Source organism: Homo sapiens, chromosome 8 (assembly GCF_000001405.40).
Source record: "Homo sapiens chromosome 8, GRCh38.p14 Primary Assembly".
In the NCBI taxonomy this organism is placed as follows: domain Eukaryota; kingdom Metazoa; phylum Chordata; class Mammalia; order Primates; family Hominidae; genus Homo; species Homo sapiens.
Window position 1 is genome coordinate 74,790,366 of NC_000008.11, and position 18,257 is coordinate 74,808,622.

The 18,257-nt window shown below is 36.2% G+C and overlaps 1 annotated feature.

The window, feature by feature from the left end:
* Window positions 17,449-17,986: an enhancer, noted in NCBI's record as "OCT4-NANOG hESC enhancer chr8:75720049-75720586 (GRCh37/hg19 assembly coordinates)". NCBI's record gives its function as "activates a minimal SCP1, AML or CMV promoter by ChIP-STARR-seq in naive and primed H9 embryonic stem cells {active_cell/tissue: H9 hESC(naive and primed)}" and the evidence as "EXISTENCE:reporter gene assay evidence [ECO:0000049][PMID:30033119]".

An 18,257-nucleotide genomic window follows, 5' to 3' on the forward strand; every position in this document is an offset into this window, starting at 1 on the left:
TATGTGTATGTTTTTGTGTGTGTGTATATACACACATATACATATATGTGTATGTGTAGGTGTGTGTGTATACATGGTATATATATTATGTGTGTGTGTGTGTGTGTGTATATATATATATATATATATATATATATATATATATATATAGACAGAGAGAGAGAGAGAATGAGATTATGGGAATTGATTTGCATGATCAATTGCAGAGGCCAAAAAGTCCCACTATCTGCCATCTGCAAATGAGAGAAACAGAAATGCCAGTGCTGTAATATAGACTGAGTCTGAAGGCCTGAGAACCAAGTAAGGGGTGGGATGCTGTGGTACAGACTGAGTATCTCACCTTTATCCAAAATGCTTGGGACTGGAAATATTTTAGATTTCAATTTTTTTCAGAATTTGGGATATTTGCATTATACTTACCAATTCATCATCCCAAATCTGAAAATCCCAAAATGAAATGCTCCACTAAGCATTTCCTTTGAGGGTCACGTTAGCATTCAAAATATTTCACATTTTGGAGCAATTGGATTTGAAATTTCAGATGAGGGAAATTCAATCTGTATAAGTCAGAGTCTGAAGGGCCAAGAATCAGGAGTTTCGATGTCCAAAAGCAGAAGATGGATGTCTCAGCTCAGGAAGAGATAGAATTCACCCTTCCTCTGCCTTTTTGTTCTATTCTGCATATTGCCCACTCACATTTGGGAAGGGAAGATCTTCTTTACTCAATTTACTGATTTAAACGCTAATCTTTTCCAGAAACACAGTCACAGACACACTCAAAAATAATATTTTGCCAGCTATCTAGTAATTCCTTAGCCCATTCAAGTTGACACATAAAATTAACCATCAGAGAACGAGAGAGAAAAAAGATTGATTTATTTTAAAGAATTGGCTCATGCAATTGTACAGGCTGTCAAGTCCAAAATTTGTAGGGCATTCTGGCAGTTTGGAAATTCAGCTAAAAGTGGATGTTTCACTCTTGAGTCCAAAATATTCAGGGCATGCCAGCAGGCTCGAAACTCAGACACAATTTCTATGTTGCAGTTGTGAGGCAGAATGCCTTCATCTTTGGGGAACCTCAGTCTTTGCTCATTATGTCTGCAACTGATTCAATGAGATCCTCCTACTTTATGGAAGGTAATTTGCTTTACTTAAAGTCAACTGACTGTAGGTATTAATCATATCTAAAAAAGTACAACCACAGCAGCATCTAGACTGGTGTTTGTTCAAGCACCAGAGCCTTGCCATGTTGACCCATACAATTACCCATTACAAATAGTATTAGATTAATGGAAACCATCTGCCTGGAAGACTGATACATGACCCTGGCACATCTGCAAAAGAATGGGAGTTGAATTGAGCAATGCGCTGGGGATTCACTCTAGGTTAGAGGGCTAAATGTTAGAGATAAGAGTGTCCTGAGAGTCAGGCAGGAGACTCACTCCACATTCTCCATCTGCCCAGCATTGACTCGCAGACCTCGTGCCGCTCAGCAATGTACAAATGGCGTACAGTGGGCGATTGGCAATTGTGCCAACACTGAGCAGAGACTGATCACTACAAGAGGCCAGTTTGAAGCAATCCTAATGTATGAGAAGCATATATGGATGATTATGTTTTATTTAGTCATACTTGGAAAAGGAAGCTCATTTGTGAATCTTCAGCCTGTAAAGTTTCACAGGAAATATGCTGAGTCATGTTAAGGACTGCTGAAGATTCTAGCCAAAAATGTTCAAGAAGGTACTTCCAGGTTCAGTCCCAAAGAATAAATAATCCATGATGAGCTCCTCCTTGGCGATACAGCACTGGGGAAGGAGGGAGAGTACGGGTGAGAACTGTAGCACAGAGCTTTGACACTACGATGCTAATGGAGTGTCTGAAGGATTTGGCTTCTTATTTTAGAACATGGAAAGTGGATCACCTGTTAGAAATAGTCTTAGAAAACAAACAAAACAGTAACAAAATAATAGGACTTTCAACAAGAATATCAATAGAGTTAGATAAAAGGAAAGGTTAGGAGCCTGGACAAGAAATATGAAAAACACAGTTGCCAAAGGATATAAAACAACAATGAGTCAGGCTAGATGTCATGGAAAATAATACTGGTAAATTTCTTTTTCCGGAAAGAAGCACACAAATAAAATAGGATAATAGTGTTAAAGTGATAAGTATAGAGAATTCAAAGACCCAACACACGGATGAAAGAATAGAAATGATGAAACAAAAACAACGAGCTCAGGAATAGTAGAATATTTCTCTAATAATAAGGTGCACCAACTTAGATCCTAAATGCAAATTACACCATGTTTTCAGCTCTAAGGGAGAGAAAATGACACTGAAACCTGCCTTGAGGCTCTGTCACACCCATGGAAGGGGCAAGGTGACAATTGAGATGTCTTCTAAAATGTGTGCATATTCCCAGTGTCAACCTGGGGCAGGAGATGATGGGAGAGATGTGGATTTTAGATAGGATGAGAGGTATACCTCTTCGATTTCCCAAACCTAACCCCTAAGGCCTAGAGATGTTGGTATGTTTCTGGTGGTAGCAGATGAAAGACAAATCAAAGTAAGGAACTCAGGAATGAGATAATCATGATTAGACTCATTTGAGCATTGAAATAAGCACATAGAGGTAAGTAACGAAAAGACCCATTTTAAAAAAAGAAGTTAAATATTTTTAAAGAAGAAATTTGGTCATATTTACAACTTTAATTGAATTTGGGAAATCTGGTAAAGGAGAGGGGTAAAATGGAATATTGAAACTACACCTTTAATTTAAAATTATTTATATGTTATTGGCCTTGGCATTTAGTTAAACACAGATTTTTAAGAATGTCTTTCAGAAAATTATGCTGCTAGAATTGGATGTCTAATAGCACACACACATACGCTGAACTCAAAAAAATGACAAAAGAAAAAGAAAACATTGAAAAGAAGACCATAATACAAAATAACAGATGCAAGAATGAATATAAAAATATAATAGATGAAAGGATCAAAGTTTTAAAAGTAAAAGTGTTAATCCCAGCACTTTGGGAGGCTGAGGTGGGTGGGTCACGATGTCAGGAGATCAAGACCATCCTGGCTAACACTAACACAGTGAAACCCTGTCTCTACTAAAAATACAAAAAATTGGCCAGGCGTGGTGGTGGACACCTGTAGTCCCAGCTACTTGGGAGGCTGAGGCAGGAGAATGGCGTGAACCCAGGAGGCAGAGCTGGCAGTTAGCCAAGACCATACCACTGCACTCCAGCCAGGGTGACAGAGCGAGACTCTGTCTCAAAAAAAAAAAAAAAAAAAAAAGAGGAAAAGTGTTAGATTGTATTACGTTAATTTCAATGTTATGCTTGCTACTTGAACTAGTTAAATAAGCTTGAAATAAACAAAATTAAAACTTTAAGTTAAAAAAGAATAAATGAGCAAGGATATACAAAATAATAAGGAAAAACTAATGTTAGTGAAAATAGACATAAAATGCTTTTTATTTCTAAAGGGTAAAACTTCTAAGGAAGACTCAACAATCATGAGACTCAACATTCATGTACCTAGAAGAGCATAAACATGGACAAATCAAAAGTCATCTGAAATATGAGGAGAAACTAATTCTAATGAAGGATTTTAGAATGTATTTTTAATCTACTACTGATCAAGAAACCCAAAATAGATCCTTCTTCAGTATATTGCAGAAAAAGTAGATGCATGATAACATAGAAGATGAAACTTTTATTTGGTAAAGTTGATTAATTAATGGGTATAACACTTTTCTCAGCAAACTGCAAAATTAAAAAAAAATGCTTCTGTTGTCCATGGGACATTTACAAAAAGATTACAAAGAAAATCACAATAAACTCTACAAAGCAGTAATGGTACAGGCCACTTGCAGAGATTAGCAAGTGACAACACTGGGAACTTGAGAGAGTGACTTGGGTTTTCTCCCACAATGCTGATATGATTGTAAATCACGTGAAACTTTCTGGAAAGCAGTTTGCCAATATCTATCAAGAAGTTTAATTATGGTTTTATCTATTTAAGAGTAATTCCACTCTAAGAGTAATTCCACTTCTAAGAAACCATTATAAAGAAATGTTTTGAAGTATAGATACATACTTTTGCCAAAGTTTTTATCAACATTTTCAACAATAGAGAAATTATTAAGATATAATATCTCCATATGATGGCATATTATGCTGAAAGTAAAATAGTATTTACCAAGATGTATTAATGACATAGGAAAATAAAAATAATGTAACAAAGTGTGAAAAAACTAGAAATAAAATTATACTTAGTATTATCGGAGAGACAGAGAAAGAGAAAAGAGAGAAAGAGAGTAGCTGAAGAAAGTGCACCTAAAATATTCATCATTACACTTTTGATTGCTATAATCATAGTGACATCTAATTTCTTTTTTTGTAATTATCTGTATTTTCACTTTTTTCAAGATGTCTGTATTTAAAACTATGAAAAAGTAACATAATAATTATTTCTTTACAATGCATAAGCTGTCACTTGAAATTGAATACTTTCATCCCTGTCCTTCAATAGTCATAGGTCATTGGCTCCAGGAGCTTCCTGTGGATACCAAAATCTGCAGAAGCTCAAGTTCCTGATATAAAATGACATAGTATTTGCATATAACCTATACAATCCTCCCATATGCTTTAAATCATCTCGATTATTTATATCTAGTACAATGGAAATGCTATGTAAATAGTTGTCATTCTGTATTTTATTTGTATTATTTCCTATTGTGGTATTGCTATTTTTATTGGGGTTTAAAAAATGTTTTTGATGTGAAGTTGGTTGAATCCACGGATATGGAACCTACAGATATAAAAAGGGCTGTCTGCATTGTTGGGGCCTATAACCTAACATTGTTAGCCACACCATCTTTAAATGCTTCCTGTTTAACTCAGTTTTCCTATAAAGTGTGAAATCATATTGTCTTGTGGTCTTAGAATATTACCAGGTGGAAGCATAGCCATGGAGCAAGCATGTTGGTGGCAGTGGTAATTACCAAGAGACCCTCCGTGGAAAGGAGACAGTTTGGAGAGAGGGGTTGTGACCATGTTGTGAACTGATCATTCCTCCACAGACGCATTCGTGAAACGCAGATCAAATCATGCAGAAGTCTAAAACTCACTAATGGATTCCTTATTGCTCTTAGACCAGAAACAAAATTCCTATATTCATAAGTTGACCATACTTTCCAATTAGTCCTATATAGTGTCATTTTACATCACTGTCTTGGTGAAATTATTGATAGTGTTCCTTTTTACTCTGGAATAGGGTCCATTTGGATAACAAATTATACATCACTCCATTTCTATGAACTACAAAGATTAGGCTGTTTGGCTTCAGTATGCATCCCTAAGCTCAGTGCTAACTCCACGTTTCTCTTCAGCTGCAGCCACTCCGGCCTTCTTTGACACCTTTTCACTTATTAGACTCTGTTCATCAAGCTGTGATTTTTGGTGGGAGGTGGTTATATTGTGCATTGTTGGAGAGGGTGATGGGGAAACTGAGCACAATAAATGAGCAGGAGAGAATTATTTTTCTGCATTACCTTTGATGGGCTTTGGACACAAGATATGCTGTGCTGTTTGAGTTTGAGGCAAGAGGGGCAGAGCAGCAATGGAAAGCAGAGGGCTCTACATATTTCCTAAATATAGTTATGAAAATTGATAGAGTGTCACCAAGGGTCTAGGTGTGTAGATTATGTAGAGAGGAGTGAGCAGGAAGTAATGAAGAAGCCAGGCCCATGGGAAGTGGGAAAACCTACCTAAGAGGCTGGCCCTAATAAGAGCGGCAGAATAAGCAATTCCACAAAACACACTAAGTATGAAATATCAGACCTAGTTCAAGCTTCCATGAATATAGGAAACAATCAGCAGTGGTGGGAGATATATTTTTACAAGGCAGACTCATGGAGGCAGCATGCCATACTCAGGGTAATACCTGTGATTCACAGGAAAAGAAACAGGATACAGAATCCAGCCTGCTGGGGAAGGAGGCTGGCAGAACAAGAAACAGTCTGGGCTCAAGGCAAGTATTCACTCTGTTACCTTAAAGCGGTCTCAATCCAGACCCCAAGAGATGGTTCTTGGACCTCGCACAAGAAAGAATTTGGGGTGAGTCCATAGAGTAAAGTGAACGCAAATTTATTAAGAAAAAAGTAAAGGAATAAAAGAGTGGCTACCCCCTAGGCAGAACAGTGGCATGGGCTGCTCAACTGAGTATGCTTATAGTTATTTCTTGATTATATGCTAAACAAAGCATGAATTATTCAAGAGTTTTCTTGGAAAGGGCTGGGCAATTCCCAGAAATGAGGGCTCCTCCCCTTTTTAGACCATACAGAGTAACTTCTGGACATTTCCCTGGCATTTGTAAACTATCATGGTCCTGGTGGGTGTGTCTTTTAGCATACTAAATGCATAATAATTACTGTATAATGACCAGTGAGGGCGACCAGAGGTCACTTTTGTCACTGTCTTGGTTTTGGCCAGCTTCTTTACCACAATCTGTTTTATCATCAAGGTCTTTGTGACCTGCATCTTGTGCCAACCTCCTATCTCATCCTGTGACTAGGAGTGCCTAACCTCCTTGTAATGCAGCCCAGTAGGTCTCAGCCTTATTTTACCCAGCCCCTATTCAAGATGGAGTCGCTCTGGTTCAAACACCTGACAATCCCTTAAGGAGAATGAGCTTGTCAAGCAGGAGCGTGAGGTAGGAACTGTGCCCTAGGTCATAAGTGGATTGGAGAGAAATCATCCAGAATCCTGAGGCTGAAGAATAGAGTTGACATGGGCCACAAGATCTAACTTGAATACTCATTAGATACAGAATATGGGGCTTCTGATGTACTCAATGTCCTAGTCTGGAATGCATCTGGGCCCATAGGGAGAACTGAAAAGATCCTACTGAGGGAGCACGGCTGGGCAAAAGTAAAGGAAACAAGGTAGGGGCTGGCAGTAAGGAAAAGGAGAGAAAAGGGGAAAGAGTCCTAGGAAGCTTTTAGATAAGAGAAAGTGTTAACAGAGATTTCCCCTTACCTAAAACTAAAAGGTCATAACTTGTAGAAACTAAACAATGAAAAAACTGTTTTTGATCCTATATTCCTTTGCTTTATTATTTAAATTAAAGTTCAATTCTATGAATGCAAAACAGAAAGCCCAATCTTTTTCCCAGTATTGTCATAATCATTTTTAAGCACAATATTAGGAGATAGGATTAAGTAAACAGTGTTTTTTTGAACAGATTTTTTTTGCTACTCTGCCTGGGAACAGCTGATATATATGAGGGTCTAGTCTAAAACCCAGTTCAAAAATAATATTTTAGTTGGACCAGATACTCTTATGATTTACACCTAACATCGGCCTTAACTCTGACTAAAAGCCAAATTTTAGTAACAAAAAGAAACCTAGTGTAATTTCCTGGTTCTGAACAGCATTGAAAAGCTCACACAGAGACCAATCCAAAACCCAAGAGAGCTTTCCCATATGTCATCAGATATCTGTGGGTTGATAAATTCTAGTTCTAACTCTTGAGATCTGTATTTTCCCATGTATATTGCGAATCCACTGGTGATAAGTAAATGAGTTAAAAGAATGAATCATATATGTCTCTTCATTAATCTTTTGTGCATTTTCAGTAATGCTCAAAAGAAGTTGAGAAAGCTAGGTTTCAAAAATATTAAGCAATTCATAGCTTTTCTCATGAGTTCCCTATTTTTCTTGCTTCTTGAGATTTCATGTGGTCTCCTGAAATTCTGAATTCTTGTTACCTATACTTTCCATGTTATAGCTTCTCTTTGGTTTTCTCAGAATGTTTTTCCTAACGTCAGGACTTGCTCTTTGAGAGCTTCTGCAACCACCATTCCAATAATTTTTCACATTCAACTTATATACAAGAAGTTACTTGCTGGATGGACTTTCTGTGTGTGTGTGTCTGTGTGTGTGTGTGGGGGAAAATCTGAATTCTTTATTTGGACTGATCCAACTCAGGAGGAAAACATTAATTTTAATTACTTGCATAAACAAGAAATAAGAAAATAAGCCTTTTACATTAAAAAATACAAAAACAAATGTCAAGCTGAATGTAAATTATTTTTGTTTTTGTCATGATTTGGATTAGTTATACTACATCTTCTATTATGCAAATATTTCAGAATTAAATATACTGTATTATATCTCTGTTTTATCATTAAATTAATGAAATGTAAGTTTCTTCCTATTGGAAAAAATGATATTCATCTTAAATTCTGAGGAAATATTGAGGAAAATATTTCTTAGATGGATACAAATTCCTCATGTTGTTTAACTGACTTTGGAATAGGAAGAATTACGCTCTTCTTCCAAGCACTTTCAGAATGCAGTGTCGGGAGTCAGTTTAAAAAAAAATCACCTCAATTGAAGAAAAAAAGAGAGGGAAAAGAAATGGAGGGAAGGGTTTAAAGAGCCACTTACAGTGCAAACTTTAATGCTTAAACAATGTAATGGTGATATGATGTACGGGTCTACATTAGTAGAACATCAGTTTAAAAGTAGTGTTAGTCTTCTTTCCATATTTCAGTAGCTTTATTCTCCCCCTCAACCCTTATTATTTCCAATTATTTAGTCATTCAGGTGTGAAAGTGTTTTTGTTGTTGTTGTTGTTGTTGTTGTTGTTGTTGTTGTTTGAGATGGAGTTTCACTCCTGTTGCCCAAGCTGGAGTGCAATGGCGCCATCTCAGTTCACCGCAACCTCTGCCTCCTGGGTTCAAGCGATTCTCCTGCCTCAGCCTCCCGCGTAGCTGGGATTAGAGGCATATGCCCCCATGCCTGGCTAATTTTGTATTTTTAGTAAAGATAGGGTTTTACCACGTTGGTCAGGCTTGTCTCGAACTCCCGAACTCAGGTGATCCACCTGCCTTGGTCTCCCAAAGTTCTGGGATTACAGGCATGAGCCATCGTGCCTGGCTGAAAGAATGAAAACATTTATTGGTCAATCATTTATTTTCCTAAGTCATTTATTCCTATAGGCACTGATTGCATTTGTTTAAAAGTCAGTGTTATTTTCTTAATAGAATCTACATAAAAACAACTCACGAATTAATTTGACATATCTAAGTGGCTGCAGTAAGCTTGATTATGTTAATCTCTTGCTAGTGAACTTTTTTGAGGTACATTTGGTGTCCTGGCCATTGTGTTTGTCTTGTAGATACTCATCTTACTACTCTTTTCGCTTCTGTCAAACAGAATGACCAAATCTTGGAAAGACCTGAGGAGAAAATTTATAAGTTTTATATAGACTGTATTATAAAGTTAGTGCATTTTTCCCTGCAAATTCTAAGTGTTTTCCCTTAATATTTTGTTTGTTATCCCTAAGCCAAATAATCCTGTGAGAAATTTTAGGTCTAGAATAATTGTAAATGTTCCCAGTACTTTATTTATATTTTTTGAAAGCGAGCAACAATTACTTATCAAATGAATAATTGTCCTTCAACCTTTAGTTTTTCCAGGGGCAGCCAATATACTATTGCTTGGCTATTGCCTATGTCTGTGACCACAAGCAAAAAACCCAATTGGAAAATATAGCTTCCCAATAGTGGAGATTTAGGATTAGCAATGTGCAGAGCTCGATAGATGGTTTGGAATTATTTAGCAGGCAAGGTTCTCATAGTTATCCAAAACATATCAAACAATCTCTCATTTTGGTCTCAAAGAAGACCTAGCCATCTAAAAAGTTTTCAGTTGTACCCAATTCAGCAAAATATAATCTGAAAAACGACTGGACTTGGAGTCAAAAGAACGTGGCTGGAATCCCAGCTTCAAATTTATTAGCTTATTTAATATTTGACAAGTTAATTTACCTTTTGAAACCTTAGTACACTAGAGTGTAAATTTAGAATAACAAATTACTGAAAGGGTGATTTTCAGGATGGTCTAAGCACATATTAGATGTTCAGTATATGATAGTTCAATCTTAGTCTAATGCCAAGTTGACATAATGAAAATATCAAATGCAATTGAAAATAATCAATCTTATTTTTTGTGTATTATTATTACTAACTTTGGGTCATCTGAAATATTAAATTTCATTGACATAAACGTATTTGTTTCCAAAGTTAAAATTATTTATATTTGGTTTAAAGAATTAAGAATAGTGAACATTTGTTTTATCTATATCTAAATCCATGGGTTTTAGATAGATAATTATTACTATTGTTTTCAACCTTTCCATTACCATTTCCAGAATTTTAGAAGCTTTCAAGTAATTTTTGTTTCTTGCATCTATGTTGTCAGTAGAAAAAATGGACCAGTATCATTAAGATAATGATGTGATATTACAAAATAAGAATCATGATTTGTCATATTGCTAACACCGGATAGCATTAGGGCAATTCTGTTTACTATGATGGGAAGAAACTTCTCTCATTTTAAAAGAAGATCTTAGAGCCGAGCCTGGATATTAAGTAAATTAGAGAATGTTACTGACTTAATGTCTATATAAATATTGGAATTTTTCTTCTCACATTTTCTCTCCTCTTCATTCTTTTTCTCAAAAATTTCACTATCTCCCCTCCATAATAAAGAAAAAATAAGTGCAGAGAAACTAACAATCAACCCCCAAACATCACGCAACTCCATTCTTCTCTGGCCTAGTCTTTTTACTAATTTCCTATTTTCTTCAATTTTTCAGTAGTAAATACATAGAACTTTCTATAATGTAATGACTTTCACAGCATCCACTTTTTTTCATATTCTCTTTATTTCCATTTATATCTATGCCTTAGGACTTATTCAACTTCAGGTCTACATTTTTTTGACTCATTTTCCATAACTGAATGTTCATTTTCTATTGCTGCTAGGCAATGTCACAGACAAGATTAAGAATTCATTATTTATGTTATCTATGTGTTTGCAGTCTGATAGAAAAAATAAAGTACATCACCCAAGGAACCATGTGTATAAATCGGGATTCTACAGAGAAACAGAATCAATACAAGATAGATATAGATAGAGAGATAGATAGATAGATTGATTGATTGATTTGTTTTCAGTAATTGGCTCATGCAATTATAGAAGCTGAAAAGTCCCAAGATCTGTAACTGGCAAGCTGGAGACCCAGGAGAGCTTGTTGTGTAGTTCCAGTTTGCAAGCTGGTAGGCTCAAGACCAAGGAAGGGTAGATGTTTCAGTTTGAGTCCGAAGGCAGAATAAAGACCAAAGTCCCAGCTCAAGCAGTCAGGCAGGAGGAAGACCCTCTTAGTCATTTTATTCTATTTAGGTCTTCAGCTGGATGGATGAGGCCCATCTATAGTAGGGAGGACAATCTACTTTAATCAGTCTACTGATCTAAATATTAATCTAATTAAGAAACACTATCACAGATACACCCAGAATGTGTAACTGAATGTCTAGGCATCCTGTGGCCCAGTTGAGCTGATACATAAGTTAACCATGAGCCACCAGTGAGCTACGGAGTATAATCCATTTAATAGCTCTGAATAAATGATGCTCAAATCAACTTCAGCAGCCCTGACTTCTCATCTCTATTCCAGTCTTATATTCTTTACTTCCCACAAAACACCTCTATGTGGATATTCTTTGTTCACTCAAAATTCCTTATGTTTAAATAAAGATAATGTTGCAATTACTTTCTTATCTCTGTCAATATCTTGATTAGTGGCAATATTAATCTTTTTCTTTTCCTGGCTTTATAAACTCCTCTGGCAGTTTTTGCATTCATGTTCCCATGATCATAACTACTACCAGATTGTATTAAGTTTTACTTTTAAGTATCTCAGATTTACTCACTTATTCCCACTCCCATCATGTGAGGTCACAGTTTTATAATTCCACATCTAGATTATTACAACAGCATCCAGATCCAACCTTGTGTCATTAATTTCTTTTATTGGTAATCTGTTTAAATATCAGACCAGATTTCCTACAGCACAATTTCTTTCTTGTGATCCTTTAGCCCTAGGAAATGCTCAGGGCTTACTATGGCCAAACCTGTCATGCCTGCTCTTTTCATGAAATTTTTTAGTTTCTCAAAAATCTGACCTTAGTTATTGATATGGTTTTGCTCTGTCCCCACCCAAATCTCATCTTGAATTGTAGCTCCCATAATTCCCATGTGTCATGAAAGGGACCCAGTGGGAGGTAATTGAATCATGGGGGCAGGTCTTTCCTGTGTCGTTCTTGTGATAGTGAATAAGTCTCATGAAATCTGATGATTTCATAAAGGGGAGCTCCCCTGTACTCTCGCCTGTCACCACGTAAGATGTGACTTTGCTCCTCATTTGTCTTCCGCCATGATTGTCAGGCCTCCTAAGCCATGTGGAATTATGAGTCAATTAAGCCTCTTTCCTTTATAAATTACCCAGTCTTGAGTATGTCTTTATTAGCAGTGTGAGAACAGACTAATAGTTATTGATCTATTCTTCTCTCCAGCCTTACTAACTTAAGCCTTTGACATGGTCTTCACAATTGTTCTTAATTCCTCTTTCTACCCCTCCAATATAGACTTTCCTTCCTTATCATTGCTCATGATGCTCTTTGGCAATGCCCTTCCTCTTTAATCATGGATCAAATTGAATTCACTTTTTAAGGCCAAACATTAATTAAGCCAACCTCTCCGCCTCAATGAAAACTTTGACTATTTAGATTCTCGGTCATCTCTGAATTTTTATAGCATTTATAACCTGTCTCCCTTGGCACTTCATCATATATTTCTATGTATTACTACATTAATATTTCATGTTTGTTTGCTTTGCTCCTCCTGAATACAATGTCTATGTATTATACTTAATAGTAGATGTAAATATTTAATAAAAGTGTTGATTAACTGGTAAACGTGCTTTTACTTTCTCAAAGCAAAATATCACATAACTTTTCCAAAGATAATTTCATATATTTGGACTGTGGTACTTGTGTTATTTTAAACCTCTTAGTATTCTGCTCCCAAAATATAACACATGAGTGGGAAATGACCTACAGTATCTGTGTATATAGCTCATGAGTCAGGAAGATATGAGGTAATTTCCCAATGGAGGGAGAACAAGACTAAATACCAACATCTGGGATTTAGTTAGTAAATGAAAGAGAGAATGAAGGTGGGAAAAATACCTTTATATACCGTGTTTTTTCTCCAGATTCTCTGGATGAAATTGAATGGTATGTGATCTACATATTACTAACCAGCGGGACACATCTAAAGTATTTATAGTATGCTTTATATGCTAAAAATTTTCTAAATGAACAGTTAATGAGATGAATTAAAAATGTAAGCAACCTAGAAAAAAAAAGATCATGAAACACCACTACTGATTAGACTTGTGGGCTGAGGCAGAGGAATTCCCACTTAAATTGAAGGAGATCATTAACAAGTGGGCTATGAGTTGCTCAGATAATTATCACAACATGAAAACCACCTTTCCGGATAGGCTTGCTGAAAACCAAACTGAGCCTTTACACCCAAGCAATAACCTACTACATCATTTAGCAAAATTCAAACATAACCTTCATTTCTGTGTTAAATGTGTATGTGCCATGGTTTTATGTTTTTTGTTTTTTTTAGGATGTTCGTGTTTTAATTATAATTAAAGTTTTAGTTACCTCTACTATTATTATCTAGTTAAATAATTAAACAGAAGAAATATTGTTATTAGACACCCTTTAAAATATGTAAGAATAAGCTTCTATGATTCAGGAAATAGATAATTGGGTGAGAAGATTTTTCTTTTCCTATACGCTAATGAGGCGGCAATCTTGATTAGTTTAATTGCATTAGTAGATGGCACATTTCCACAAATATATATTATATAATCCATCTTTGTATTTATGCTGTGTGTGTGAGTTAGAACAGATTGGCACTCCCTAACAGTCAACAACAGGAGGAGCTAGATTTAGGCTTTAGTGGAATTAACAGTCTGCCAGGAATAAGTGGCTAGTCTATCCTCTGTATCAAGAACTCTCCAAGTTGCTTCCTCAAAGGCCATTATAACATTCCTGACATTTTTTGCACTTATTTCAAAGTAGGGATAGTTTCTGTTGTCCTTGCACCAGGTCTGGGCTTTTCCCATAGACTCTTGACAGTCACTCAAGTTAATCTTGCTACCCAAAATCACAAAAGAAAATGTCTCAGGTTTTTGAGATCTGCATAATGTATGAATTCTTTCCTGTGGTTGCTGGAATTCTGGAAGCTTTGGGTATCATCCACAGTAAAATTAAGAAGGCTGCAGTCAGATCCTCTGTAACACAGGTTCTTGGGCTTCTGAATTAATTTGCTCAGCTTTGTCCCAGTGTGTCTGGGAAAAAGATGCTCGTCTGCTTTTCAGTTTTTATTTTAAAAATTTGTACTTACTGGGTGAAACACCTGCATGTATCAGTTGTATTAATTACATATTTATTCATAAAAGAACTCTTCACAACTCCACTAACTCTGAGAAAAATTACTTTAAAATTTTTTTAAAAAAAACAATTGCTTGTCACAAAGTGACAAGAACCAAATTAAACATTTCCAGTACTTTTTATCCCTTCCTGTGAATTTGAGGTTCCATCAGGTATCATTTCCTTTTATCTTGAAGAACTTCCTTAATTATTACTTACAGAGCAGGTCTGCCAGGAGTAGATTTTTCTCAAGTTTTTTTTTTCTGAAAGTGTCCTTATTTCCACCTTATTTTTGAAGAGTGATTTTAATAGATACAGAATTTTGGATTGATAAGGTTTCTTTAAAGCACTTTAAGGATATCCTTTCATTGGCAACACCCAAAATGTGACACTGCAAATAGGAAGTTGTAGAATGCGAAATAAAAGTGAAAGCTGCTAAGATCAAGGAATAAATATACCAAATTATTAGGATGAGTTTTCTATGAAGATGAAAGACTCTCCTATTATGGTGCCAGAAATCTGAATGGAAAGAAAGACAATAAATCAAGTACTACTTTCTCAGTGACTAAGGGTGAGTTGTGAAAAGGTCAGAACATGACAGTAATGAAGAAGGGAGAAGCAAAATGTTCCTTGGTTTTTAAATCTAATACTCTTTCATTAATAGTTTTAAATATTTTTTTTTTTAATCCAAAGTATTTACTGGGAATCCTTTGAGAGCGGTCTGCTTTTCTGCTTTGGGCTCTTTCTCTAGACCATTTCCTTTTTAACTGTGATGATTTCCCTTGACATCTTCTAACTTAGCAGAGTTGCCCCATCAATTGGGTTTTATATTGAATACTATGGTTCTGCTGAAAATTTAGGGGTAACTTTCAAATCTAATTTTAACCCAATAATCTGCTTTGTAACTTTCTGTTTATTGACACTATATAGCAATAATCTTTTCTCATCTGATCTTATCCCATTCCACACTCTAAACTAGAACAAAGATTAGTAACTTATTGCTCACTATTTATCATTTGTTTTCCACCCATCTGGGTTATAAACATGTTATCTTTTCTATGCAGAGTGTCCCTTTAACCTATCACTAAATCTTCCCTAATTCATTAATCCCAACTCTATGTAAGTTAACACCCTTTGTGAAACATTTCTAGATTAAACTTCAATGCCATATGATATCAAACAAATTCTGGTTGCCCAAATTAGTCTCTCAGCACCTTGATTTGCCATTTTCTTTGTATCACATTGTTTTCTTTGAGGTTGTTGTTTCTTTGGAGTGCATGGCGTGAGATTGTATCTTAGATTTTCTCCTAGTCTCTTATCATATTGCATGTATCTGACTGCCTTATCATTCATAGCCTATCTACAGATAAAAATGGAAGAAACCTTCAGAAGCTTCTATGTTGTTTACTTTTTCCATTTACTTACATTATTAAGCGTGCATTATATGTAGTTTTTATAATATGAAGAGAAATTTAAATTGAATTGTGTAGAGATGTTTGCTTGCCTTCATTTTCTCAAGTAAAATGAGATGAAGTAATTCCTAAGATAATTTCCACCTGCCACATATAATTGTTTCAGATGAATGCAAAAGAGGTCTCCTGTCTTTCTCTAAAAGTACAATAATTTTCCATCTTTAATAGCATGCAAACAAACTCAATAGCTTTAGCTAATCAGTTATTGTTCTGCTATCACTGTCCGCCTAAACTCAGTGTCCAGACTAATTTTGTGTGTTACCTTCTTTTTGTGTAACTCCATAACTTCTTCTAATACTTTTTGGTCTTAACAGTCATACTCAAAATGCTCTTTAATATAAAAAATATATATTTGACAGGCAGGTCTAATAATGTATTACCAACCCAGTTAGCTGTACATATCTCAAAAGAAGCCTACATCTACCACCTTTTTGATCTCTTCATTCCTTGAGTGAACTCACTGAAATCTAGTTTTTGGCCCAATAATTTATTGTTGCTATTTCCAAAATATTATAAAAGAATTTGCTATTTCTAAGTACGACTGTCACTTTTCAAACTTGACCCAACATGACTAAAACTAAATTTTGACCCTCCTTCCCCAATCAGCTTTTCCTCCTGCATTTCATCTAAGAAGTCTTTTCACTCAGCTGTTGCTTGAAATATTCCCTTGCCTTTATTTCCTTTATTCAGATTTTTTTTATTAAATCAATTACCTTAAGCCAAGATTTTTAGAATTTCTCCTTCTGAACAGCATACTCTTACTGTCTTAGTTCAGTCATTCATGGTCTGTCACCTGTACTATTATAATAATTCTTTAAAATGCTTTCTTGCTTGTTTCCTTCTCTCTAGGCCCATCATTTATGTTGTCACAAGGCATCTTTCTTGAACACAATTATTTTCATGCCATTTACTTGATCAAAACCTTCAATGGCTCCTCACATAGAAGAAAATAAAATTCAAATTTCTTAGCATAATATTAAGGGGTTTCTGTAATTTGGACCTAATATTATTTTCCAGCCTCAATTCCCCATCCTCTCCTCCTCCATACAGTTCAGCTTCTAATCTCATTATTCTACTTTCTGTGCCATGAACACTTCAGCTCCTGTAAAGCCTCTTGCCTTTATTTCTGCTGTTGATCTTGTCAGAGGCATGTGGACCAGAGCAATTCCATCTTGAATAGGAGGAGCTAGGTAAAACGAGGCTGAGACCTACTGGGCTGCATTCCCAGATGGTTAAGGCATTCTAAGTCACAGGATGAGATAGGAAGTTGGCACAAGATACAGGTCATAAAGACCTTGCTGAGAAAACAGGCTGCAGTAAAGAAGCCAGCTAAAACCCACCAACATCAAGATGGCGACGAGAGTGACCTCTGGTAGTACTCATTGCTACATTCCCACCAGTGCCGTGACAGTTTACAAATGCCATGGCAATGTCAGGAAGTTACCCTACATGGTCTAAAAAGGGAGTCATGAATAATCCACCCATTGTTTAGCAAGTAATTCAGAAATAACCATAAAAGTGGGCAACCAGCAGCCCTCGGAGCTACTCTGTCTGTGGAGTAGACATTCTTTTGTTCCTTTACTTTCCTAATAAACTTGCTTTCACTTTACAGACTAGCCCTGAATTCTTTCTGGCGTAAGATCCAAGAATCCTCTCTGGGCATCTGGATCTGGACCCCTTTCCTGTAACAATCTGAAAAAACTGGCTTTGCAAAAATTATATCAGTGAGAAAATAATGACAGTGAAAGAGATCTGAGCTAACCCACCCAACAGGAGTCTTGCCTTTCCCCTAATCATTCCTGGGCTATTGGGCCAAGCTAACTTTGGAAGACATTTAGGCTATAGTTTCAATGATAATAGGCCTTGCCCAAAACTCAACTGCTTTTGTAAAGCTAATGGGAGGCCATCAGGCTGGGGAGAGGAGAGGAGCCTGAGTGTTGCTGGGGTGCAGACATAAATGATCGTCAGCCATTATTGCAGAGGTTATAAGATATGCAACTTCCCCAGTTACTCCTGCAAAAAACACCCACTATTGTAGATTGGCCTTTTGAGATACCTTCTCAGGTTTTTTGCATGCCTGACACCCATGGCTCTACCTGGACCCACCAACCTCATTCCTGTGGCCCCATTCAGAAACGATTCAGCCCACAGGAGGACAGCTTCCACTCCCCATGATTTCATCTCTGTCAGAACCAATCAGCAGCAAGTACCTGGCCACCCTAACCCCTTCTCCTAAACTGCCTTTGGGAAAATCCCTAACCTAACAGCTTTGGAGGAGATGATTTGAGTACAAACTCCATTTCCCATATGGCATGGTCAGCCTCACGTCCATTATATTCTTTCTCTATTTGCAATACCATGGTATGTCTTTATGTAACAGGCAAGGAGAACCCCTTGGGCGGTTAAAAATT